Source organism: Homo sapiens, chromosome 7 (assembly GCF_000001405.40).
Source record: "Homo sapiens chromosome 7, GRCh38.p14 Primary Assembly".
Taxonomy (NCBI): domain Eukaryota; kingdom Metazoa; phylum Chordata; class Mammalia; order Primates; family Hominidae; genus Homo; species Homo sapiens.
Genome location: NC_000007.14, coordinates 82,170,398 through 82,198,268, shown reverse-complemented (window position 1 = coordinate 82,198,268; position 27,871 = coordinate 82,170,398). Strand labels below are relative to the sequence as shown.

The window sequence follows — 27,871 nt, the reverse complement described above, 5'->3', positions numbered from 1 at the left end:
CATCCTACTGCTTCTCTAGGTTTTTAACTAAGTTTCCTCATTTGTAAAATATGGGCCTTAATAGCACCTACTGATAGGATTGTTGTGCTGATCAAATATTATGTCTGTAGAGTGCTGAGCACAGTGCCTGGTTTACAGCAAATAACATCTATTTATTGTTGTTTTTGTTTTATACTGGGGGTATAGAAATGAATGGCATTCTCCTGGGACCATGAGCTCATTCAAGTCAGGGACTGGGATTCCTCTCTCTGTACCTGGAATTCAGGAAAGATCCTGACATTTAATACAAGTATTTTTCAATGTGGAAAATGTGTTGCATATATTTTGCCTTTATTCCAGGTAGACATATGTGTGTGTGTGTGCATAATGTCATATATATGCACATTTCCCATAAATATAACTGATGGGATAGCAAGATAAGATATAATTAAAACACATGGTAGTGTGTGTGTGTGTGTTTGTATAGTTTAAAAAAGACATTAGAAGGAGAAAATATATGCTTAATTTTCTTCTTGGAAATGTTATTTTCATGCATATTATGTTAAAAGTAATTGTAGCTGAATGTTTAATTCTTCTGAAAACTGGTAACTTGTCTGTGTCGTCCCTGAGGCACATGCCACGTAACAACAGAATTTATGGAGAATGACCAGGATTATCAAAGCCTTGTTATTTCTTTAGTGCTTGTGACACATCACACTGCATTAAAAGTGATTTCTACCATACAACAAAAAGACCATTTGTAATTCATTTCTCAGCCCCATATACTAGAAAATTATATGCCTGTCAATTCTAGTTTTTGTGGTATAATGCCTTACATTTATGTTATGATTTATAGTTACAAAGTTGTAGCACATACATGATTTTAAACATTTCTAATAATCTTGAATTAGAAAAATCAGTTTATTTTGGAAATGTATTCTGGAGTGCTTAAAACATCAGATGTATTATTCAGAGAACCGCTGATAGGGTGAAATGTAAAATTTCCTGTTCCTATTCATCTCATAAATTTTCCTTAAACCTTAGGTTTTGTTTCTGAATACTCTTATATAATATATTCTGTCACAATAACAATGTTCCTAATTAAGTAATCTTTAGTAAAGATTAATTTTTCTATAAATTTTCATATCCAACGATGTAACCTTGGAGACACATTTTCTTCTCTGTGTCAAAACAATTAAGGCATTTATTTGATAGCAACATGCTTAAACTAGCCACAATTTTTCACTGATTCTTATTATTCAGTACTTTGACTTTAAAAAAATTACATGAGAAAAGGATACTTTTCCTCAGAAAATTGAAGAGTGTAAAATCTATTTATTCTTAGATAATTCCCTTGCTCAATTCCCCAAAGAAGTGTATTATTTCAAATTTGTATTACTTTTCTCCCACTCTACCATATCCTCTTTCATTTTAAGGCAACCATCCTCTATTCACATATATAAAAAAAAAAAATGTACCAGATGAGAACTACCTCAGTTTCTTTGCCCAGACTATTCTCATCCTGAATCGTCTTTATCTATCTCTCTTATTTCTGACAAATATAAATCGGAGTCTATTTTGTTCAAGTCTAACAATCTTCTCTTGTTATTTCAGTCTTTTTCCTTACTCTCTAATGACTTTGCTCCCCTCCATCAACTGTCCCTGTTTTCTCTTGTGCTTCCTCTAAGGCAAACAAATCTACAAACAGACCAACTAAAACAACAAGCTCCAAGCCTAAATCATCTCAATTCTCCTTCCTTAGTATTTCTTGAATCTTTTTCCACAGCACCATTCCTAATGGCACTAGTTAGATCTGTGATCCTGTCGTTTTCTCCCTACTGTAGCAATGCAGTAGCTATCCAACAGGAATCCCCACCTCAGGTGTGTCCAGCTAGTCTGCCTTTTCAAGCATCCCCCATAGAATTCTTCTAGCATTGTCTTTATGACAAAATCCAAACCTCATAGTGTAGTAAACTGGTTGTTAACATGGCACTCTTCCTGTCTGGAAATTTTGGCTAGGCCCCAAAGCTAGTGGTTATGAATGCCAAACATCCTTACTTTAAAGAGAGTTATTAGACCATGTATATGGACTTGCAAAATGGTTCCAAAATCTAGTTCTAACCTTAGCTAATCTTCTACTTTGAAGCTATGTAATAAAAAGCAAAGAGGATAGTTGGTTGGCTGTGGGTAGGGGGATCAAGATGTCTCCAACCAAAAGAGGTGGTTGTAAATTAGTAGAATCCAGATTTTATGGACAGGCTCACTGAGTAGCTGGGGAAGGAATCACAATTGCTCAGTGACTACATTTAGATAACCCCAAAGTGGGAATTTCTGCAGAACTGCAAAAGCTTTCCAGGAGACAGTCAGCACTAGAATTTCTCTACACCCACCCACTGCAAAGTGTAACTCTCTGCAGCTGAGTTAAGACCCTTTCTGCCATTATCTATCCTCCCTCCTCTGATCCAGTCATTAAGAGTTGCAAAAGTGTGGGATGGTAGTCACAGAGCTATGACTCTGTGGTGCAGATTATTCTGTGAACTTCTCAGGGTGAGCCAGGCCAAGCTGTGAAAGGGTTGAAAGGTTTCAATTTGGTAGAGATTTTGTTAGGCCAGAGGGTTTTTTTTTTTTTAAATACATGAAATTGATTAGGAAATTATAGACTCTGGGAGAGATAACATGTTGGGTTAGAGACAGGAGATTTCACCTGGCAAAGAAGAAAGGCAATTTATTTGTCCCTACAATATTCTACAGACCTAAAAACAAAAATCCAGTTCTAATAGTAAGCACGATCTTTAAACAGAATATTTGTTTCCTATTTAACTACCCTCATCTTTCACCACTATCCCTCCAATCTCCAATCTGTGCTGTATCAATATACTTTGGACCTCCTTCCTTCATCACCAAAGGTGATTCCTGAATCTTTATTTGGAATCACCTTTTCAATGGAACCTTCCCTAATACCATATCCCACCCCATTTTACATGAAGTGTTACCTTATGTGTTCTACGGCACACCACTCACTTCCATCCCATCACGCATCAACCCAGATAGTGATGGTCTCATCTATTTCCCTTATGAGACTGTTCTATAATCTAGGGACTCTCTTTTAAATCTGTATCCCTGGTACTAATTGCAGTGTCATTAACAGAGTATAGGTTAAATAATTTTGTAAACAAAAATTAATTGGTAATGGAATCATTGAGTTGAGATAAAATATAAATCTGAAAAGATACTTTAAGTATATGTCACTAGAAAGAGAAACAGAATTGCACATGAAACATTTTCTGTAAAAGATAAAAGAGTGCAACTTAAAGTGCTGTCTGTGCCTATTACGATTATCTTCATATGACTACTTGGAATCTCAGTCTCTGTCTCTATCTCCCCCGCCCCCCATTCTTGTGCTGGATAGATGTGAAAGTACAATACTGCTTACCTTTCATTATCAAGTATTTTCACAGACTCTTACTTCATTCTAGAATGCACTTGAGAGTTATTTCTTATCGTAGGTTTTCCAGTTCTTCCTCACAGATAATTTTACTGTTATCTCTTCTCCCTGATCTGACCTTTGCCAGACATTGTTGTTACTGCTGCCCTTTCCCCAAATCTGAAGATGTTTTCAAAATTAATTTTTCATTAAAATATATCGTAATATATATAAATGTCAAATGAAAACATGATAGAGTATTGTTTGCCCTCTCTTCTCATTAAAACTTAGAATGTTTCAGCTTGGACTTTAGTTTAATAGCTATTATTCATTAAAAAAAGTGAAGATATAAAGAAAAGTGGATGTGAGATCCACTATGTAACTACTTCAACTCTTGCTTGGTATTTACATATGCATACTCCAGCATACACACAAATCATTAAGAGAAGAAACTTTTTTGTTTTGTTTTTTGCCATTCCAGCATAAGAAATAAGGACATATTTTGCTATCCCTGCATGAACATGCAGGAGTTTGTCATTTTTGGCACAAAGCAAAATGAGGTTTGTTATCTTCAAGGGTGGGGTTGAGACAGTCACCGGAGCTCTTGAGCCATAGCTTGACTACCAACTGGAGGTTGCTTATGATAATTGATAACCCAGCCCTACGGAGCAGCTGATGGGAGAATGATTCACACTCTGTCACTGGCTCATGCCAACTCATGTAGAAATACACACAGCTTTTAGCAGCTACTTTGAAATCTTACTCTAATAAAGTCATTTAGCTTTAGAAATTTAATTCAACACAAACTACTTCCTTTAAGGAGATTCGTTACCAGAACAACAATGTAGCCTTATAATTTTGATGCCAAAATTATTATAGTGGGATTCCAGTGCACCATGAAAGCAATTATACAGATATGATGCTTTTAAAAATATGACATAAAGTTGATAAAATATGCATAATAGATAAAGGGAATGTTTTGAAAGCCATTATTTGTAAGTAAATACGTTCTTTGATTTTATTCAGCACCACAAAATGAATTTTCAGGTTGTAAAGCAGCTAATCAAGACAAACACAAAACATATCAAGTATGTAACTGGCTACTATGTTAAACAAATTTGTTTTCAATAATGCCTACTCTTCAAATACTGAATTTCGCTTGTTGGGGGGAAGATAAATTTCAGCAAACCTGCGAAACATTGTAAAAGTGATTCGGAAAAATCTAACCATAAAATGCAATGCCTTAACTTTTTTGTACTCACTTCAATATAGTATGCATTTCCATAGATTATGGTGTGCTCAAGTGTAATAAATGTTTCATTTAATTATTTTTAAATCTACTTAAAAAATGAGACATTTCATTTTGGTTCACGCTTAATCTTTTTAGACTTAAATATATTTCCACAAACCCACGCATCTCAAAAGATTTGGCAAACTACAATGATAGCAATTATTGTTAATTCCAAAAACTGCTAAAATATCCCAGATATTTGTCAGTTTGCCCGGGACTATTTTGGACACACATGATAGAAGCTATTAATTTTTTATTGTGATGTTGCCATTAGTAATTTTAAGAAGTAGGTAATCTGTAAATGTGCATTGTTCAAAGTATCTTCAGAAAAATTTCAAACTGTGTCTAACATTAATAGTATTTAATTATTTATCGTACCTGTTTGGCCTTATTTACTTGAATTATGAGGGGTTGAAGCCCGGGTAAAGTGCAATTCTCATTCCAAAGCTAACTATAAAGCTTCGGCTAAATCCTTGTACGACCCCTTGAGAACAGCACATCACTTACCAATGTATTTTAGCAGAAGAAGCATCAGACAAAGGGGACTGGGAATTAGAACAAATGGGATCTAGTTCCAGTTTAACTGATGCTTTCAAGACGACCTTCATAAAATAACTTTTTGTTTTAAAGAAATTATGACTAAAATATCATTAACCATCTAATATTTTCTGTACAAGTCAAGGTAGATGGTACTATGCAAGATAATAATATATTCTGGAGCAATCTCAAAGTACGGAGATCAAATGTATAGTGTTTGTGTGTGTGTGTGTGTGTTTAGTTAGAGTTACAGAAGAAAAGTTAGATGTTTCAGGAAAAAAAAAAAAAGGAACAGCTGCTCAGGTTAATAGCATTTGAAAATCTACATAGAATCAACAGAGAGTATTGCATAGAAGACATAGGATTATCTGCCAGGCAGTTGGCTCAGTCAAAGAGAGTTCATTTAATACTTACACATCTTGAATTCTTAATTTCTGTTTTCTTCACTGATTCTGTTGATCTTTCTACTTTATACACAGATATTTCTCAAGGATTGACCCTTGATTCTTTTTACCTGTCTCTATATTCACACACACACACACACACACACACACACACACACACACACACACACACAAACACAAACACACATACACACACACACAGACATATAGACATATATATATATATATATATATTTCCCCTGTTTTTTGTTAACTAGATAACTTGGGGCCTGTTCTGAATGAGTTTCTAAGCATTTAGTATGGTGATAGTAATACCTATTAATAGAGTTATTGTGAAATTACCTAATACAATGCTTGGCACTCAGCACTAAGTGATTTTATGTCATATCCACCTTGTTTTCTTGTTTGGAATCTTACTGAATATGAAATGACTTTTGGACACAAAGTCATTCTATTTAGGTTTTTTTTTTCATTTTCTGTTTCTTTACATTAAATTTGAAAGTTCTTGAGGGCAGGAACTGTATTTTCATGCCTAAAGTTATGTATCTGATAGTACAGAGTAAGGTAAAGAGGGATAGAGAAGAGTCAAACATTTTTTTAGATGCATGAATTTGTGAAAATACAACTTTAAGAAGTTTTCCACAGTATGTGGTGAGATTTCTTTGCATGATAGAGTGCTTACACTCACAATAGATGATAATAATCATTCTTTGTATTTCTAAGATGAATATGAAACCTCATTGAGAGAAAAGCGTATCTCATTAAGCTTGTATGTTACAGCCTATTTCTTTGAAATATATTCATTAATAAAATAATTCACTTTTTCTCTTTTTTTGATTTACTTTATTCATGGTTTTTGATTTGCTGCTTTCAAACGTCTGTTTATACTTGCAGTTGATTATATGAACACATACACACGTATGCCTCTAACAAGAGAGGAAGGAAATTATTTATTCATGTTATGACTTTGATTTTTTTCTTTAACTTTTCCTTTGATTTAAAAATATATAAAACATTTGTAAAGTCAAAGTTCTTCCTGATAGAAGTTAGGAATGAGTAGAAGGAAAAACCAAAGATTTTACACGGGGTAATTGTCAAAGCAACTTGCCTTTGTGTTCTTTGAGTTATAAGGTGGTGATTAGGTTTTCAGGTTTAGAGAAGTGTGAGACAACCTAATTAAACACCTTTTTGCTGAAAAGCAGCTCGATAAATTCAGATTGCTCTGGGAAATTCTCAAAGCTTTTATCAGAAAGCTAATACTACAAAAATCTTTTAAACTAATCGCTTTTGAAAAATTATTTCCCAGACTGGAAATAAATTATATTTGAATAAGTAAGCATGCTAGAATTATTATATTGAATAGATGCAAAGATGTAACTTAAGTTTAAAAAAGTACAATCAATAAATGTATAGTAAGCACGTGTTTTCTAATAATGATTAAGGCAAATTACTAATTTTGTGATCCCTTAACTCTTTGATTTCTCTTTATAAATCCTGTATAAATAATTATGTAATAAGGGGATTGTGAGTTTGGGATGAGAGAAAAGCTAAAATCTTTACAGATTATAGACGTTCTTGAGTTGTACATAAGACCTTTATCTTCTTTATCAGCATAGTGTTTATTATTGCCCCCATTAACAGTATACCTATTAAAAGTTAATTGTTTACCTATACATATACAATGGAACATATTTTGTAATTTTGTAGTGTCATTCAATGGCATTCTCTCCCTTTTAAGAAAAATGTTTTTTGATGGCTCCTGTTGACTTTTCAAGGCTCAAAGAGAAATTTTCTTTAAGTAATCTAGTTTGTCATTCTGTAAAATGATAGGGATAGATCCAATGACTCCTAAGATCCCTTCCAGTCTCTAACAATATATGATTCTATGAATTTCTTTTTTTCATAATACCAAGAGGAAATGGTGATGGATTTAAGGATATTGGGAGGATTTCATTATTTTATTGAAAATGGCCCAAAGCTCTATCAAAAAAAATTTGGTATGAAAGTATTACAGTTTGAAAAGGACTTGGAATTGCAGTTGGATGATGGGTAAGGGTGGTGTAAACAAATCCACACACTACTGGGTTGATTAAATTTATCTTTCTGGGAATTGAATATATGGTGATGTTTCATATTACAAATGAGATTTGAGGAAAGTTAATGAAGCTGAATCCTCATTAGGTAGCCATGCTATTCTGCATCTTTGATTGATAGCAAAGAATTGCTATTGTCTTTTAGTAATTAATCTCCTTTGTGCCACGGAGCAGATTTTTTTCTTAAAACAATTTATTCATAGTTAATACAATTATGGATATGAAGCAATTAAACATTGGCTCACATTCAGGATAAAGAAAAACTAATTGATAAACTAAATTCCTCATGCATAGAACAAGAGTAATGCAGTCTTGCTGTTGAGATGATTCTTTCTGTGGAGGTGAATAACAATATCATTTTAGTGACTAAGATTGTTTACTTTCAATTATAAAACTTTGCTTCTCTGACTCGTAACAACCCTTCACTAAAGAGGCCCAAAATGACAGTTTCTCATCATTGAATACTACACAGTTCTGTTGCAAACTTCATAACAGAATTGTTTCAAGGCAAAGTAGGGTTACCTAATTATTTGAAATGAAAAACTAATTCTAAATCACTTATCTTTGAAATATAAGCATAATAACGTTTGTGGCTCCTATCATTTCATTTATCTAATGTAAACCTTTTATTAATAACTTTTACAATTAGTTTAATTTTTTTCCTAAAGCAAAATCATGAGTAATCTTAATGCAGCTACTTTGCATTTTTAATCTATTTCCAGCACTAGCCTGGTAAAAAAGTCAGTGACAATGAATGAAAGTTGAAATTTTTCTTACACAAATTTTTTTGTCCGTATTCTTCTCCCTTATGTATTCTTTTCTGTGTCAAGCTCTTTTATACTCTTCCATTATTCCACAGTATTCACTCCTCTGAGTCTTTACTCAGACTTGCCATATTCAGTTGGTATCTCTTATTTTAAAATAATTCTTCTATTCTCCTTTGTTTTTAACCTTTGCCAAAATTTTTCATTTTCTAGTATCTTGTTTATCTTCAATCTATGAAAGATATAATAAATTAATTCATGGTAAATTTAGTGCCAAGAAAATTTCTCATCGTGATTATTTCCATAGATATTTGTATTTAAGAGCAGTTTTGGAATAGGTAATGCATATTTGGGCCAAATGAGTGAATCTTAGATAGAGAAACTTAGAGCACTATCAGCTAAATGGAAAAATTTAGGCACAACTGCAGCCTGCTGAGTCTTTCTAGATTCCCACACATGAGTCTCTATTACTGCTTGCCCACTAAGTAATCTCATTTATACTGTGCTTATGCTTTGAAGAAGAATGGAATACTACAGCCCAAATACCATTTTCATCATAGTGTTGACATTGGTTGCTTCTTTAAGGCCTAATTATTTTTAACTTTTGTTTTAGGTTCAAGGGTACATGTGCAGGTTTGTTATACAGATAAATTGCATATCATGGGAGTTTGGTGTACAGATAATTTTGCCACCCAAGTAATAAGCATAGCACCCAGTAGGTACTTTTTCTATCTTCACCCTCCTCCCGCCCTCTACACTCAAGTAGGTCCCAGTGTCTACTGTTTTCTTCTTCATGTCCATGTGTATTCAGTGTTTAGCTCTCACTTGTAAGTGAGAACATGTGGTATTTGGTTTTCTGTTCTTGTGTTAATTCACTTAGGATAATGGCCTCCAGCTCCATCCAAGTCACTGCAAAGGACATGATCTCATTCTTTTTTGTAGCTGCGTAGTATTCCAAGATATACATGTACCACATTTTCTTTATTCAGTCTCCTGTTGATGGACATCTAAGTTGATTCCATGTTTTTGCTATTATGAATAGTGCTGTGAAGAACAGATGCATGCATGTGTCTATGGTAGGATGATTTCTATTCCTTTGGGTATATACCCAAAAATCAGATTACTGGGTGTAATGGTAGTTCTTTGTTCTAAGTTTTTTGTGAAAACTCCAAACTGCTTTGCATAGTGGCTGATATAATTTACATTCCCATCAGCAGTGTATAAGCATAAAACTTAACTTTCTTCACTGGTTATTTAGTAGATAGACATTGTACCAAGTTCCCATGATGATACTTTTTAATATTATATTACCGATTTATTTAGACAGATTCTTGCTACATCAATTTAGTCAACATTCAATCAGCCAAAAAAGTAAAATATGCCTTAAATATGACTACTTTATTATTTTGCTTAAATTATCTCACCTACCAGATATTACAGTCTCCCTGACTGCTAAATTCCTTTTTTGCTTCCTACCTTCTTTACAAATCTTTAGTATACTTTGGTCTATTTTATATTTCTCTTTGTGATATTTTTCTCTGATTAAATCATGCTAGAGGCTGAATGTTTATGTCCCCCAAAATTCCTATGATGAAACCTAATCCCCAAGGCAATGATACTAGAAAGTGGGGAATTTGGAAGGTGATTAGTTTATGAGGGCAGAGCCTTCACAAATGTGATTAGTGCTCTTATAAAGAGACCCCAGAGAGCTCCCTCACCAATTCTGTCATCTGAGGCTTCTATTTTATAGAAGGAGAAAATATGGTATAGAGATTAGATATAATAAGTGGAAGAGCTACAATTAGAATTCATGTCTGTCTCTAAGTCCACAACATCTCTTTCTTGGATATATCTTACTATCATACATATGTATGCCTATGAACCAGAAAGCAGACCCTCACCAGACACTGCCTCTGCCAATGCCTTGATCTTGGACTTCCCAGTCTCCAGAACTGGAGAAATAAATGCTTGTTGTTTAAGTTACCCAGTCTATGGTATTTCTGTTACAGTAGCCCAAATTTAGCTCTCAATTATCAAAGCAATCTACACAGCTCCTAAAGTCAAACTCTACATATAGAAAGTAGGTGATGAATAAATCTGCATTGACTGATTTAATTGATTAAACCAAGTTGACTGATTTAATTTATTAAATCAATTCTAATTCATTGATGGCTATCAGCTGTTTCCTCAGAAATCTTGACTATTAATATCTTTTTTTTTGGCAATGTTTATCCATGTATGTGATTATTTTTTGACCTTCTGTGATCTTGTAATTGAAAATGCTAACAAATCTTATCTACAGATGTTGCTGGAGTAATAAATACTATTGTACATTGTCCTTATTTCTGTTGTTAACTTTTTGGTGAATTTAAATCAGCTTACATTTTTTCCATGCCTACTCTATAGGTTAGATTGTTTTTAGGCTTGTGATTCTGTGTTGCTTGAAAGGATTCCAATTTAAAATTTTTCTGTACAGTTTTAAACTGCAAATGAGTAATAAATGTATTTATTATGTGGATTATTGTGGTACTTACCTTCAACCTTTGGGATTGACTGAAGGTAGAGACACAGATTTCATAAATATTCAGTTGAAAATAGCGTTTGTTTGTTTCTTTTAGTATTTGCCAATTCAAATGCCAGATTTTATATGACTGATATTTGTTAAAAAGCCAGATATTTGTGAGGTTTAGATACATGGATCTTAAAAAATCATTTATTATCATTTGCAGCCTTAAAAATGGATCAAGCATTATGGAAGGAAAAAAGAAGTTTAGAGATCTAGAGTCACTGAATACTAATGAGTCTTATGGTTCATCAGATGGTTTATGTTTATGTTTCTTGTGACATTAAAGCTTCAATATTTTACATTGTTATCGTTATTTTTTAGAAGAAGGTATGGCTTAGAGATTATATGTAATGAGTGGAAAGCCACATTCAGAATTCAAATCTGTGTCTAAATCCACAGTGCCTTTTTCTTGGACATATCATACTATCATATATTATAGATCTATACATGTTTGCTATTATAATTGCTACTAGATTGCTTTTCCAGAAATCTTACCTTCTATTTCTTTTGTCCTAACGTGTTCCATCTATGTTACCTAGCTAGGTGATAAAATAGTGTATAATAAACTTTTAAAAGCTGTTTACCTAAAAATATTTCTTTGAGACTATCTGTATACATGGTAACGCCCTCGTACCTCTGTCAGGTCTGGGGTGTTTCTGAGCCTTCTATGGATGGTCTATGCCCCCATAATGCCAATGGCAGGAAGTAAATACCCTGCAACCTTAACTTTGCTCTGTAACATACATCGAAGTGTCATTTCCTTGTGATTTTAGTCCTTTACAAAGATTTTGGTGAAATAACTTCTAGTGTTTTCTTTCAAGAGTCCTTGAGGTCTGGGATAAAGACAATCAGGGGGCGTATTTAAGAGGTTTCACTCAGAATTAACCTTGCCCACCTTCCTCAAATCTGGCCCACCTTTCTTTCCTTCCTTCCTTCCTTCCTTCCTTCCTTCCTTTCTTCCTTCCTTCCTTCCTTCCTTCTCTCTCTCTCTTTCCCTCCCTCCCTCCCTCCCTCCCTCCCTTCCTTCCTTCCTTCTCTCTCTTTTTTTGTTTTTTTGACAGAGTTTCGCTCTTGTCACCTAGGGTGGAGTGCAATGGCGCGAACTTGTCCCACTGCAGCCTCCACCTCCCGGGTTCAAGCAATTCTCCTGCCTCAGCCTCCCAGTAGCTGAGATTACAGGTGTATACCACCACGCCCAGCTAATTTTTGTATTATTAGTAGAGATGGGGTTTTACCATGTTGGTCAGGCTGGTCTTGAACTCCTGACCTCAGGTGATCCGCCTGCCTAGGCCTCCCAAAGTGCTGGGACTACAGGTGTGAGCCACCATGCCTGGTGTGGCCCATTTCTTTAAATCAAATGTGTTTGCCTGTATTTTCCCTTTCTTTAGTATAAATTAGTTTCTTGAATGCATGGAGATACCCTGGATAAATATTAATAAATCTCTTAAAAGAACATCTCATCTGCTCTTCCAAACTTTCCCATAGTGAATACAGTCTATATGTTCAAAGTAAGCACTGTCCTTGCCCTTCGCTTGCCTTTTTAATAATAGATATCACGAAATTCTCCAGAAGAACTAACAGTTAGTTGAGTTTCTGAAGAGGAATTCCTACCCTTACACTGCACTTTTGGTCTTTTCTTCTCCTCCCCCTCCCCCTCCTCCCCCTCCCCTTCCTCCCCCTCCTCCTCCTCCCCCTCCTCCCCCTCCCCCTCCCCTCCCCCTCCTCCTCCCCCTCCCCCCCTCTCTTTTTTGTCTGACCCTTTGTTCCATTGTTGATATTTATTTTTCTTATTGATAGTAACATTGCTCCTTTTGAGTTATCGGGGTGGGTAATGTTTATATAGCTTTCTGCCACACAGCCCTAACCTCCATTTGGCCTAATGTTCCAATCTGTGAATGCTGCAGCGAAGTGGTGGAATGCAGTGGGGTAGTGACAAAAAAAATACCAGATGTAAAAGGATGCTACTAATTTAGAAAATGAATACAAATTAAATAAAGGCTGAGGGAGACTTTTTTCAAATGCTTAATTGGTTATTTGACACATATCCATAGGTATGCTCTACTGTATGTAGAATGAGAAGAAATTACTCCTATTCATAGTTTGTCTCCTACTTACGTGATGTTGAGAGCAAGTTGTATAACTTCTTTCATCAGGTAGGGTAGAGACAAGGACTCTGGAATAGGTAGCCTCTATTTAAATTCCAGCTGGTCCACCATTTAGCTGGTGACTTAAGGGAGCTCAAGCTCGATAACATCTGTTTACTCCTTTGTAAAATGGAACTAATGGGAGTATGTACTAAGTTTGTAGGAAATATAGATAATTTCTGTAAAGTGCTTGGTAAAGAGTAAGTAGTGAAAATATATCAGCCCTTCTTTATTTCTCATTATGATGTTCAACTGAGATACCATATGTAAAAGAAATTTCATAAACTGTAAAACATACACATTTTAACCATCATTATTCTTAATAACATGATGTATACTGTATAATGAATGTAATTTTAATTTTTCTTAAAAAGGAAAAGAAGAAGGCTTCTTGAACTTTGTACTTGAGACTCGAGAGCTTAAAATTTGTCACTGCTTAGAAGCTTTATATCTAAAAAACGTGAGTGGAAAATTACAGGATAATAGTATGAGAATTATTGAAAGAATCTTTGATAATGTCAGTTACTGGAGCTTTTACCGAAATCATTAAAACTCACTTAAGAAGAAGAGAAATAATAATAGTATTACTCAAATTAAAATAAAAACTAAAGAGCTACTGAATATTTTACAGCATTAAAAAAATCATGTTCTCTAGAAAAAGGGGAAAACAGAGGTGGCATATTTTTTTCAGATTATTAGTGGATGATGTTTCTGCCATTTAAGAAACCAAGTAAATTTATATTTTACAAATTTGATTGATTGATTTACACATCATAGTAATTTTCCAACTCCTAGGAGGAAAGATTACAAAGTGAGAGGGGCATATAGTACACTCTTTGCCACAGAATGTGATACATCCATCCCCCTCCATGTATTAACAAAAAAAAAAAAAAAAAAGAGGAAACCGATGTTTCCACAGCAACGTTAGCAAAACAGAAAATTTGCCTACCGTCTAAGATCACACTTTTCATTTTTTTTTTTTTAAAACCATCCTACTCACTGAATTGGCAGCCTGTGCAAGTTAATTAAACTCAAAGGTAAATTATTTAAAGGTAAAAGGAAATTAATATAACAAGTCAGGAATGATAAATAGTTTACCACCAGTCAAAGAATAGGTTGAGATAACTGGAAATGAATCCCCTTTGATATAAGAAGAGTCAGAGTGTGGGTGGTGGGAGGAGCAGAGCTGGAGATGACAAATCATTATTGCAAAATTAAAAGGACTGGAAGTGGTTCACCAGATAGAATCTGACACAATCTTGGGAGCGTAACGTACGTTGACCACAGTCATACATACCTATTTGATTAGACCTTCCATAAAATAAAAGAACCCTGTCCTCCTTTTCCTCCTTCTTCATTCATAATAGCTAATGTTGAATAAGATGTCGCTACTCTGTTTTGCAAAAATCTCTTCTTTTTGCAATGTTTTTCTCAATTTTTTATAAAAATTCCTAAAAAATTCTGTGAAATGGGTATTTCTCTCCATTTTATAGAAGAAGAACCAGAAGTTCAGAGAAATTTTAAAAACTCTCCTCTACCCATATTTTCAAAGTCAGTATGTGTTTTATGGTTTCTTATATTCTTAATTGTACAAAATTTTAACTAAAAATAAAAACCAAATTGAGAATTATATTCAGAATAACTGAAGTGAAAACTTGATGATATTTTTAGTTACCATGTATTATTGGGACAGTACTGCATTTTCTAGTTCTTTAAATTTATGTGTAGTATCTGCCCATCTTAAATACCTATTTAAGACCAGTTTGGGGGCAATGTAAGATAATGGATATCTCTCTGCCAGGTGATTTGGAAAGTTAATCATTCAGGCTGTTTTAAAACTCTTGGATTATGACAAGGTCAATATAATGATAAACACTCTAGGGATTGTAAAATGTTGAAAAATATATGAGAAAAGTGATGGTCCTTACTGATAAAATAAACCTTTTAAGTTAGTTTTCACTATGGAGGTCAAAATAAGTTTTGTTGATTTTATCTACCCTTCCTGCGCCTCACTTTTTTTTTTTTTTTTTAAGATGGAGTCTCACACTATTGCCCGGGCTGGAGTGCAATGGTGCAATCTCCGCTTACTGCATCTTCCGCCTCCCAGGTTCACGTGATTCTCCTGCCTCAGCCTTCTGAGTAGCTGGGATTACAGGAGCACACCACCATACCCGGCTAATTTTCTGTATTTTTAGTAGAGACGGGGTTTCACTATGTTGGCCAGACAGGTCTCGAACTCCCGACTTCGTGATCCGCCCTCCTCATCCTCCCAAAGTGCTGGGATTATAGGTGGGACCCACCGTGCCTGGGCAATCAATTTTTATTCATCTCATTTCATATATGCATATGCAAGCTTATTCATGTATATGTGAATGAAAAGATTTGTAAAGTATGTTCTTTTGTCAGATGTATATTAAATTTTTGTATTCTTATCTCCAATTAAATTATTTGAAGAGTTGATTTTTAGATTTACCTTTTATTCCTTCTTAAAATTAAAAAAAAAACGCAGAAAAAAGTACCAAAAATAATTTTCAAAGGTACTTCTTACCCTATTATACTACATTTTACAGTTTTTTGTTCATTATGTCAATTTAGATCATGTCCAGTTACATTTTGTTTTTGTTATTTTGGTAGAATAATCAGACCCACATGAACTTTGATATATTTGTAGACTTTTGTAAAGACAGAACCTTATATGCAACAATCTGATAGTGAGATGGGGCCTTTCCATATTTTTTCCTTTTTAAAGTGGTTGTGTAGTTTAATTCTTTTACCTAATTCCTACAGAGATTTGATCATTTTCTTATGAGTATAGCAGTTTTCTTCCTTCTACCTTTTATAAACTTTAATGCATTTGGCAACCAGAATACTAAAATAAAATGAAATCCTGAAGCCTACACAAATTCCTGCAAATTGTGAGTAATGGGCTCACAAGGACAAGCAAGTTTGAGCATCCTCCATCCAAGAAAGAAAGGAAAAAAGGAAGGGAAAGGAGAATTATAAAGACTATACACAGTACATTTCAAAGAAAAAAATTAGAAAAGATAATTTTAGACAATTACAAAATGAAATTTTGTTAATGCAAATTAATAAATTTTAGGACATTTTATTGAGGATTTAATAACATTTCCAATATACATTTGATTGTAATAATATATTATGCTGTCACTTTACATATTTTGTCTAAAAAGCAAATATCATTTTTCCTTTTTATTTTACTGTTTTCACATTAAAGTTAATTGGCTCAGAGACAAAGTTCATCAAATTACAATAATCACTAAAAGAATAAGTTACAATTAAATTTCTGAATGGGTATCATTCCAGTGACTTCTGTTTCCTTTACAAGGTTTATTTTTTCAAAAGAGCTTTAGAACACGTAAGTTGTAGTTGTTGTTTTATTTCCCTCAGATATGAGAGCTTGCTTTTTTAAGATAATCTAAAACTTTTCCTTGAACGATGCTGTGAAGTTTTCTTTTAGAGCAGTGCTTCTCAAACTTCAATGCACATTAGAATAACCTGGATGTTTGTTAACCCATAGATTCACAGGGCCCACTCCAGTAGTTTCTCATTCAGTAGACCTAGGGAGAGATTTGAGAATTTGCATGTCTAACAAGATGCAGGTGATGCTGCCCCAGCGGGTCTGGGCACACTTTGAGAAGTACTGTTCTAAAGACATCGTGACTCTTAAGGTCCAAAATGCAGAGTCACCAAAGAATTGCTGAAGACAAAATAAAGATGACACTAGTTAAATGATAGTGAGAGTCTGAAGCCAGAGAGATGGATCAGTGAACACTTTGACAAGCTGGCTCAGCCAGACATGGTGTGTCATAAATTTGTTTAACATGGTTACTGCCTTGACATCCATTTCTAGGCCTCACATAAGTTGTTTCAAACCCAGTAATACCCCATTACTTTCGGCCTGGTTAAAACTTCTCTTCCCCTCGTAGTCGTTTTTGATATGACCTTCTTGTTTCTCATCTCACTGACGCAAAAAAAAAAAAAAAAAAAAAAAAAAAAAAAAAAAATCCGACATGCCCCACAGCTGCTGACCATGATAAACCTAATGGCCAACACCAGAGTTACATAAATAAGTTCCCCCTTCTGGCATGTTTTCTTCAAACTAGCCAATCTGCAACACCTGCGAGAAAGCCTGAGCACCTTAAGAAAGGCATAGTCCCAGAGATCCTCCTCACTGTCTCTGCCTGTCTCTGTCTCTATTTCTCTCTGTCCCTCTTCCCCCCACCTGCCACCTGCTAGCTGAGCTCCCTGTCACCTCAAGACTTCCCACTGGCCTCCTGTTGACCCCCGCAACCTCTCTGGGATCTGTAAGTAATGCATTTCTTCTGTTTTATGCATTTTAGTTTCACCTCCACATTGTATCTTACCCGTCCCATAGGACTAATTCCTCCTCACAACCCAGCGCCTCATCAGGGCTCTCCTAGAGAGTGGCTTTCTTGCTTTCTGGCCACTCTCAATAGAGTTTTCAAGACCAAATTAGAAACCGTAACAACAAAAAGTACAACATGGGTGTCAAGAAATGTAAAGGGTCTGAGATTTTGCCCTAATTGCAACCTAATAAGCTAGCCGACCACAATTTCACAGATGCAGGAGATACCCTGATTCAGACACAGTGGACCTTATGCCTCATGGCACAGTAGGTAGCGTGAGCTTTGTGTTCGCATCAGTATCTCTGGACTCTCAAACCCAGTGAGGTTGCTGCTGAATGACCCAAGGGCCTATGGTGTATGCAATGGTATGTGTTACAGCTGATGAACCCTGAGTTTGGGAAACCCCAGTCATCTAAAGGGGTCTGCCAGGACACCGCACTTGCCTCAGAGGATCACTTTTATTTTTTGGGGCAAGAAACAAATCTGCCCTCGCTCTGGAGGGAGACACTATCTCTATATTCCAAGGCTGTTTGCTATGCATTCTTGAAAAACTAGTCTCTCTTTGCCTCTGTTCATGTGACATGCAGAAACATGAGGGACCCGAGGAGAAATTTCTCTCAATATGGTGATTGAAATTGGGACTAATTCAGAGGACTAATATGGTCAAAACAATTCTGAAGTTTCTAGTCTCAGCGAAGGTATGCCCTTTCCAATAACTTTATTATGGAAATAATTTAAGATGGCTTTTTTTTTCTCTCAGGTGTATGTAATATTTTTTGGTGATAATTTTAAGAATTCAGTTTATTGACTTTATGACGAGTCTAACTTCTCCCCCTTAGTTTTTAATATATAATAGCTTCTGTTTATTGAATACTAAGCACATATCATACTTACCCCTTATAATACAAAATGATATATGCACTACTAAAATTCTCATTTTATAGTTGAGAAATTGTGGTAAAAGTTATTAATATGCTGCTGGTCATAAGTGGCAGAGCTGTTTTTACTATATTATGCTTCCTTAGTTATTCATGGTAGTAAAAAATAATTGCTAGATATGTAAAGGAGCGGTCACATGGGACATAAAACAACCATTTTAGGGCAACTTAGGTTGGTGTTTATTTGTAGGCAATTTGGTTGTTATGCAAAGTGATTGAAGGCCTTTGGAATTAGTGTGACATACCAGAATGCAGTTCTCAAGCTGAAGAGATATTTGCATTCTCTGAGTGGATGATCTCCTAATGTAAATAGTTTGATGTTGTGACTTAATTTTGTGGGATTTTAGACTAGATTATCAGCAGGACTATAGTATTAGGAATGGTCCTCTTTTCTGTTTGTTTTTTTCCTCTCCACAGTCCATTTTCTCTCCCTTCTCCACAGTGATTCCTTCCTGGGTTTTTGAATCTGCAGCAGTCAACATGTAGAGAATAAGGTAACTGAATAAGGTCTTAGAATTTTAGAATCTAAAATTCTAAGACCCCAGAGTGGAATTACATGGATTAGGGTGTATCCTTGCCACTTCCCTAGCCATATTCTACTACTTTTTAAGTGACAGGTAGTGTTGAGTTAATCTAGCAATTTTTAAGAATTAGGTGGTGATGTATGCTTGTCGTGTAGGAGGACAGCTTTTGTGGCCAGAAAGTCACAGAATGTCAAAGTATTATAATACTGAATGACGATGACTTGGTGAACCTAGTTATAGATGTTGATACAACCTTGAAAATGCTTGGAAATGATTGTTTCCACATTTCCATACACACTTACTGAATGCCTACACTGTTCTGCACGTTGTATAAGATACTGGAGGTGCGCAGATGTGAAAGAACTGCTTCCTGCACTGGATGAACGCACATTTAGTGATTTAGAGGGAGGGCGAATTGAGTATAGCATGATGGGCCATGATAGCATGAGGTTATAGAACTAGTGAAGGGCATGGACTGTTTTGTTGTCTCAGGATAATTATATTGCTATTTAGAACAGTGCTTCTTAAAAAGTAACTCAATCCATATGTCTAATAGCTCCAAAATATTACCCTCTAGAAGAGTGTTTTCAAGGTTTATCTATGGAAAAGGTGTAATATATTAAACGTAGATTTTCAGGAATGACACCAGCTATAGAATCAGAATCTTTGGATGATGGTGGGATTGGAGGGGTTTTCATGGGGTCCAGGTGTGTTCAACAAGTTCAACACGTAATTCATTGCAGGTGGCAAAACGTAGAGCTGCAAATTATATTCATTTGGACAACCTTTTATTTTGCGCTGTAGACCCAAAAGAAGGTATGATAATTGTTGTGTATTATTTATTTTCATACTGCTAAAAGGAGTTTTGTTCTCACCAGATGATATCTCCCTTACCCTGCCTTCTGTATTTCAAGGGTCTTCCAATTTATTTGGAAATAATTACATCTCTGAAGATTAGATTTGAAGCTTTGTGGTTAATTTTGAAGTATTTCATGAATATGGCAGATCAGGTTGAAATCTATAGGACACACTCCAGAAGCTATGAGGCGAAAGTTTTATTTTTCACTTGGCCACAGATCGAAAAATAAATGACTGGCTTTATTTCAGCAAGTTTTATTTATATGTTTTGCATATATTACACTCCCTTAAAGCTTAGGCTAGAAAGAGAAATTGTATTTGTATTATGAGATTTTTATTTCCCATAATCTGGCATGAAATCAGTTGTAAGAAAATGATAGCTATCAAAAAGAGTTAATCTGTATCCTTACATTATACCTTGTACATTATAAGATTTATCTGTAATGTGGCTGCAAAAATTTTTTAGCAAGCATAAGTAAAACATATAAACAGTGTTTAGTCATCTTTATAAGGGTGGGCTTGCTAACCTATAGCACAATAATGAGAGGGGATCAACATGTCTTTGGTTAAGTTGCCTTGCTTAAGTTATGATTTAGAATCTTTCAAATTGCATCATGAGTGCCTGTGAAGAAAGATTGATGGTCTCTTGATGGAGTGAAGGAATAGGTAGGTTTGTATTAAGAAATAATACCTATTCTACATTCTGTTAGTAAATATGCAATTGATGTATAACATTTTGATGCTGAAAAAAATCTTAGAAATGGCTCCAGCTTAGTTTCCCTGAGGGGTTTTGTCCTCCTCCAGATATTATCTTAACTTTCCAAAACCTTCAGCAAATAATTTCTCATACACCATTGATTGTAATTTGTTTGTTCAATCCAAACCTTGAAAGGGTGATGGGTTTCTTCTTAGATAAATCATTCCTCATGAAACTTGTGGAATTTCTCTTTGCATGTAGCCTATTAGCAAGGAGAATCAACAATACCAATATCAGATGATATTTACATATTTTTTAAAAATACACTTCCAACCAATGCCTAAGGTTATAGATCAATTTATTATGGTGATTGCTCTGTGTAGGGAAATTGGTCAGAAGAGGTGAATAAGGTGAACTTCAAGGTGATTTGTAATACTTTTTTTTCTTACATAAAGTTATAAAGCAAATATAAAGATCAAGGTGAATTCTGGGGTGGTAGGCTCGAGACTATTTCTGTGCTTTTCAGTATTTTCAGCTTCCCCAATACCCTCCAGCCCGCCCCCCAACCCCCGCCAAAAAAAAAAAAAAAAAAATAGAGACCTGTAGCTAAATCTTGTCATTGGCTAATGACACTATTTTTAGGATCCTTCCTGTCCTTTGAGATATTTGCATCATGATAGAAGCAGTACTTTAAAAATGTATTCTCCATGTGGCAGAGGCCACTGAAATAAAGTAAAATGAATAAAGCATGTATAGTTTAACTATTGAGAAAGCATCTGTAAAACACCACATGATATTATGTGTGAGTGTATATGATGTATATGGTATATGAATATAAGGTCCCTTTAGAAGCATAGTTGATAAAACTATGTCTTATATTTTTTATTCTGTGAACTTGCATATAACGAGCCTTAGTAAATATTTATTGAATAGAAGCAAACACACTAGGCTTCTTGTCCTAGAAATAACTTTTCCCCCTAGTCAGGGTATTTATCTAGTTGCTACAATTATCAAATGTTGAAATGTACCAAAGTTAACTCATCCTGGTTAGTCTGTTTACATTTTATAACTTTTAATCCTCAAATCCCAGTTTCCAGCCTGGCTTCTTTAGCTAACAGAACCTTTTCAGAGTACTAATAATATTTCTTTATAGAAACATTTTTAACAATCTGTAAGTACAGCACATGTGATTTAAACATACAGAGCAATTTCTCTGCACATGAAGATTTTCCTAGTAAAATCCTTGTTCACTAGGATATAACAAATTGTTAGAAGCCTTTGGTAGAATTCTGCTGAACATACATGTTTATATGAATTTCAGCTGCATTGTTTCCCATTATCTAGTTAAGGTTATTGGAAAAAGAACATTTTACCTTTGAGATGGAATATTATACTCAATATTCATGGAAGTATTATGCTGTTATGTCTGTTGAGGTCTTCAAGACTTCCTATCAGCATAAGAAATGCTGAAGAAATGTCACACCTTGCCTATACCCTTCTCTGCCCTTCAGAAAAAATAAGGTGTCACAGGCAGAACACAATGATCTTCTCTGCTTTCTTATTCTATTTGTGGTAAAAATAAAATAAAATTGAACTTATTTTACTGAACTGAGCTGTTGTATTCCCTGAATTGCATATGCTTTTGGTTACCCTATGGTTTTATAGACCAGAGCTTTCCTGCAGGGTAAAATACAGTGAAAACTTAAGGTCTACTAAGATTTTTTTTCATTTATTTCGCTCATATGTACGTGTTGAAGAGGTCATTGGTGATTATAGTTCTGACATAGCCTATTCTACGGGTTCATGTTTGTCAGGTTCAAACGGAAGCAAAACTTTACTGAGTTTGTATTATGCTAGATATGTAGAATGCCAAGTAGAAAATGTAAGGTTAAGAAAATCCTAGATGCAAAATTGTTAGCTTTATTACCAAAATTTTGTTGTTAGTGAAAAGCAGCACCAGAATTGGAAACCAGATCTGTCTGATTTACCAGTGCATGTTCATTGTACCATAGATCCAAAGTAATTGATTGTATCTGTAGGCTTTTCTTTCGAACATTGAAGTCTGTTTATTCACCTAAGTCTGCTATTTTCAGTAGGTATTGTTAGAAAATTCAAATGATTATCCTGATCCTTTTGATATGCTAAGAACCGTTTGATGAAGATAGTAGGTGAAACTCCTAGAGTGATAATTGAATTGTCAACATAGGTATAATACAAGAATTTGCTAATCTTTATTGGGTGTTAACTGTTTGAAGATTAATCACATAACACATGCATATTTTATTTGGATTAGCTGTTGTAGATCTCTATTACCTTTTATTAAAAAGGAAAATCTTGACTTACATTAGCTGAAGAAATTGTTTTGAAATTTAGTGATATTTGTTTAAATGGTGTCTGTAAGTCAAATCTTTGTATATAAACAAGAGTACCAACATTATGGGAGTGTAACTGAACTGTTATATGATCCCTGATGATTTTTTTTTAAAGCTATCAAAAGAAAATTTCTCATAATTTCAGAAAGCAAATTTTATCTTTAACTTGCAATAAATTTGCAATCTAGGAAGCAAGTTACTTACATGTTTGGAAAATAGTCTTTTTTTTGGAAAAATATATGTGGATATTGATTAGGATAGTAGAATTATATCTTTATATACTGTATAATACTGCTTTTATAGAAGTTTATATCACCTGACAGAATTCAACGCTAATGGAAAAGATGAAGATATGACAAAAAGTAAAGGTTGAGAATGAATAGACTTTCAAGGGAGCTGATCTTTCTGTGATCTGATAAAACCTCTTCATTCTCTATCCTTCTCCCTGCAGACCACTGCATAGCAAAAGCGTTTTTACTGATTAGCAATAATCTCCCAGGATTTGAGGACAAGACCTGTAAAGATGGTTCCCAACTAAAATATGATTTTTGTTGTTGCTGCTGGCTTTGTTTTTCATTTTTTAGTAATTTCTAAAACCTTGCTGGGGATTTTTTTATTAACCTAAAATTGAATTCTAGTGTTTTGGTTTTGATATTACTCTGTCTTCATATATACTCTGATGAGTTTTATAGGAATCTAAAGAATGGTCTTGTGGAAGGAGCATAAGCTTTGGAGTCAGAAAGTCTGGGGTCAAGTCTATTTTGTTATAGTTGTAAGTCCTTAAAACCTTTATAGTGATTTTCTATTTTAAATGTTCAAACCAATAAGTAGGTAGGGATGTATACATTCTTAACACATCTATTACTTTTTATAAATACTTATTTGATATCCAAAGGATTTTCATATATACATGTGGTATCTCAGTTACAATAAAGCCATTTAATAAACCTTGCTGAATATCGTAATATTAGCAGAATTAAGCTTCAAATTTTTCTCATAGGTATTCATTGTAATCCAGGTTTTTTATTTCTGTGTGGTGCTCAGTCTGGTTTTAAGGTCTGATACTATATTATGCTGTGCCATAAATCAGAAAAGTGTTCTGTTTTTTATTTTTTTTTTTCTGAAGTAAGTTATTGTTACAGGATATACTTATATAGCCAACTATGGAAACAGGGATGTTCTGTTGAGCAGATACTCACATTTTATTGGGTATTTTGTGTCTTTTTTTTTTTTTTTTTTTTTTTTTTGAGACAGGGTCTTGCACTATAGCTCAGGCTGCAGTGCAGTGGTACCATCATAGATCACTGTAACTTTGAACTCCTGGATTCAAGTGACCCTCCTGCCTCAGCCCCCTGAGTAGCTGGGATGATAGGCATGTGCCACCATGCCTGGCTAATTGTGTTATTTTTTTAGAGACAGGATCTCACTATGCTGCCCAGGCTGGTCTTGAACTCCTGGCCTCAAGAGATTTTCCCCACCTCCCCTTCCCAAAGTATTGGGATTACAGGCATGAGCCATGTGCCTGGCCTTTGACAGCCTTAACACAATTCACCGGTGCCATTTAATGGTAGCTCATTAGCTTTAAAAATAAAATGTCATTTGACCAAAACAGAAGTGAATTAAAGGCTTAAAGTGTCTAGAAGACATGTCGGTTTTCTATAAGTAATGACCGGCTGGTTTGTAGCACCACCCAGTGACTGTTGACTCTAGTCCCGAGATAGACTAAGTCTCTAAAGTTTAGTATTATATGCTTTGTCATGAAATTTGCTAGGTAAAAATATTTATTAATTTCTTCATGAACAAAGAAATTAACAGGAGTAGAGTTTTCATGATTATATATTTCTAAAATTCCAACCTGGGGATATGAAATTTAGCAACTTTCAAGCTTCAGACCAGCCTTTTAAAATACATAACTTCTTTGGTATACATAACTTCATGCCTTTATTTTTCTAAAAACATTTTCAGAGTCTTGCAATACAGGGCATTTACTTTATAAAATTAGTGTTCAAAATACATATAAATAAAGCCGATTTGGACTATCTTCCTCCTAGGGAATTGTGTTATAGTTTGTTGCCACTGTTATTCTGTTTCTCTGGAAATAGTTAACTGTGATGATTACTGTCACTATAACTTACTAAACATGGATTATGTTCATGTCATAAGCCACGTGATTCTGGGTCAGATCAGTTGAATTGCACTTTCTCATGCACTCCCAAGGAGGAAAGATCTGGTAGAGTTAACAGCTGGTACCTTGGAAACTGCATAGCCCTGTGGGTGAATGCTCACTAGTGTGTTTTGTTTGCTGAAACAGCATCTTCCTGTGTATTCTGAAGAAAAAACTTAATATTCTTCTCTAAGACACAAAGACATCTTAGAGTTCTAATGTTTCTTAATCTAAAAAGGTTTAGTATTTTATTCAGAATTTTGTTTAAGTTCCAGAATTTTTTTTTTGCCCATACATGTAAAAGTTTAGTTACTATTATTATACTGCTTTTTTTTTTTTTTAAATGGGGGAAGATTTACATTGCAAATTTTGTCAAGGGCATGTCTTTGGCCGGGCAGGATGGCTCATGTGTGTAATACCAGCACTTTGGGAGGCTGAGATAGGAGGATAATTTGAGGCTAGGAGTTTGAGACCCCATCTTTACCAAAAAAAAAAAAAAAAAAAAAAAAGCCGGGTTTCTTGATGCAAACCTGTAGTCCCAGCTACTTAGGAGGCTGAAGTGGGAGGATCACTTGAGCCCAGGAGGTCAAGGCTGCAGGGAGCTATGATTGCACCACTGTACTCCAGGCTGGGAGACAGAGTGAGACCCTATATCAAAACAAAGAAAAAAAGAAAAAGCCTTCATGCTTATTTTCTCATTCTATCTTCTCTTTCCTTATCTTCCCATACTGAAGTGTTTCTATAGAAGAGTTGCTTCCATTTCCATTCCTTTTGCCATTTTATTCATGTTTTGCTTCATTTTTCATGTGAAGTTGAGTTTCTAAAAGTATTATGATGCAGTGTTCCTGAAATGTATATGCTTGTCTTTTGGCTTTGCTGCTTAGTTTTTTGTTTTTGTAGGGAGAGGGAGCCGCCTTTTGGTTACTCTATGTGGTACAATTTCTAACATTTCCTAGCTTCTTATATACTCCATTTCTACCTAGTAGTGAAAAACAAAACCATTGTCCTTTTGGCACACTATGATAGATTTTCACTTAAATTTAGCTTTGGGACTCTTAAATTGAGATCTCCCACTAGGCAATATTATAGAGTCACTGATAAAACCTATGCAACAGCTTAGAAAAATGAATAGATTATAATCACAGGGATAGAAGCCAATACATTAATATAAAAACTGGTCTAGAAGGATGTTTATCCAGTGTAGACTGGACCTCCACAGGAAGAACTTACGCTAAGGAATAGTTCATAGATCACAAACAGCATGAATCAATAAATGACTCTGAGATTTGTAATTTTTTAAACCTAACCTGATAATTTCTATACCTTAATAAGTGAGTTTAGTATATTTATTATATTTACTTTTCTGTTTGCTCAGTTTTATCACTATCTTCTAGCTGCATAAGGCAAACCACAAATAAACTCAACACTGCACTATTTTCTCTAGGGGATCCAGGGAGAAAACAGAACCATTACTCTTTGAAGTTGATAGTTGACATATATATTGTTTAGTTTGTGCCAGGCACTGTTCTAAGCACTTTGTAACTCATTTAGTCCTTCCAATAAGCCATGAGGCAGGCTTTCACATTACTCACATGAGAGAATGGGAGAAGAGTCTTAACTTTTCCCAAGGTTGCACAGCTAGTAGTTTGCAAGGGCTGATATTCAAATCTAGGCAGTCGGGTCCCCAACTCTGTGTTCCTAACCATTAAATGTCACTGTCTTATGAAAGCCTATCACATGGAGAACATCATAGTGAAGTTGAAAAATACAAAGAGAAAAGTCTAAAAGCTATTGGAATAGGGGAAAAAAAAGTTTATAAAAAGTGATTGGCAGGCTGACACTAGCAATGTCATCTCCCACTGAACTTAATGGAATAGCATTTCGAAAGTGCTATAGGAAAATAAATTGGCTTATAATTCTTAACTACTTTAGCATACACGATTGAAGGTGAAATAAAGCAATTTTAAGATGCACAAATCCTCTATCAAAGATTATCGCTGAAAGAACTACTAAAGATGTACTTCATCAAAGGGGAAGTTATTTCAGCTTTTGTGGCTTTTGGTAAAAACTCAATATGCATTTAAGAAGGTGCCTAGTATATTGTTTAGTGCATATTAATCTCTCAATGTCATTTTTTAAGAGAAATGTATGCTCCAAAGGTATTTACTAAAAATAAGATTCTATGAAAATTAGTATACTTAAGTGTTTTTCTAAAAACTGAAGTATTAGTCATTGAAAGAAAGCACTCATAGAGGACACTATAGCTGATGATGGCAGAGGTAACAAACTTAATGGTATTCAAGAATAGTATATTATTTATATTGCTGAAGAGTAAATATACAAACATCAACTTTAGTAGGTTAGATTACTAAATGATTTAGAATTTATGAATCATAAATAAGGATCATCTTCTGCTTTTTATGTCCTCAAAATTGATTAGAAAGCGCAAGCATTTTATATAACAATTCCATATTACGTGTTCATTTGAATTCTAAGATTTATTGTTTGTTTTTCAGCGCCTGGCATTGGAAGCGGAGAAAGTTCAAGCAGCTCACCAGTGGAGAGAAGATTTTGCAGTAAGAACCCCTTTTAACTACTTGATTTAAATAGCTTGACATATTGTGTATGGATAATTACATGCATATTAAAATATATTTTAATGATGGAATCTTATGATGTTGTGGGATTAAAAATAATCATACTTGTTGCTTTTTAAATAAATTGCTTT

At 34.6% G+C, this 27,871-nt stretch overlaps 1 protein-coding gene across 16 annotated transcripts in view; it reads left to right on the top strand.

The window, feature by feature from the left end:
* CACNA2D1 (calcium voltage-gated channel auxiliary subunit alpha2delta 1) overlaps nt 1-27,871 on the top strand; it is a 497,513-nt gene that overhangs the window by 245,688 nt on the left and 223,954 nt on the right. For all 16 annotated transcript variants that reach the window (XR_001744873.3, XM_005250574.4, XM_005250572.4 and 13 more), the window contains exon 4: nt 27,660-27,719. Coding sequence is in view for 15 of the 16 variants with exons in the window: in XM_005250574.4 (XP_005250631.1) it covers nt 27,660-27,719 (60 nt within the window). In the remaining variant the exon portion in view is untranslated. The remainder of the gene's footprint in view (nt 1-27,659; nt 27,720-27,871) is intronic.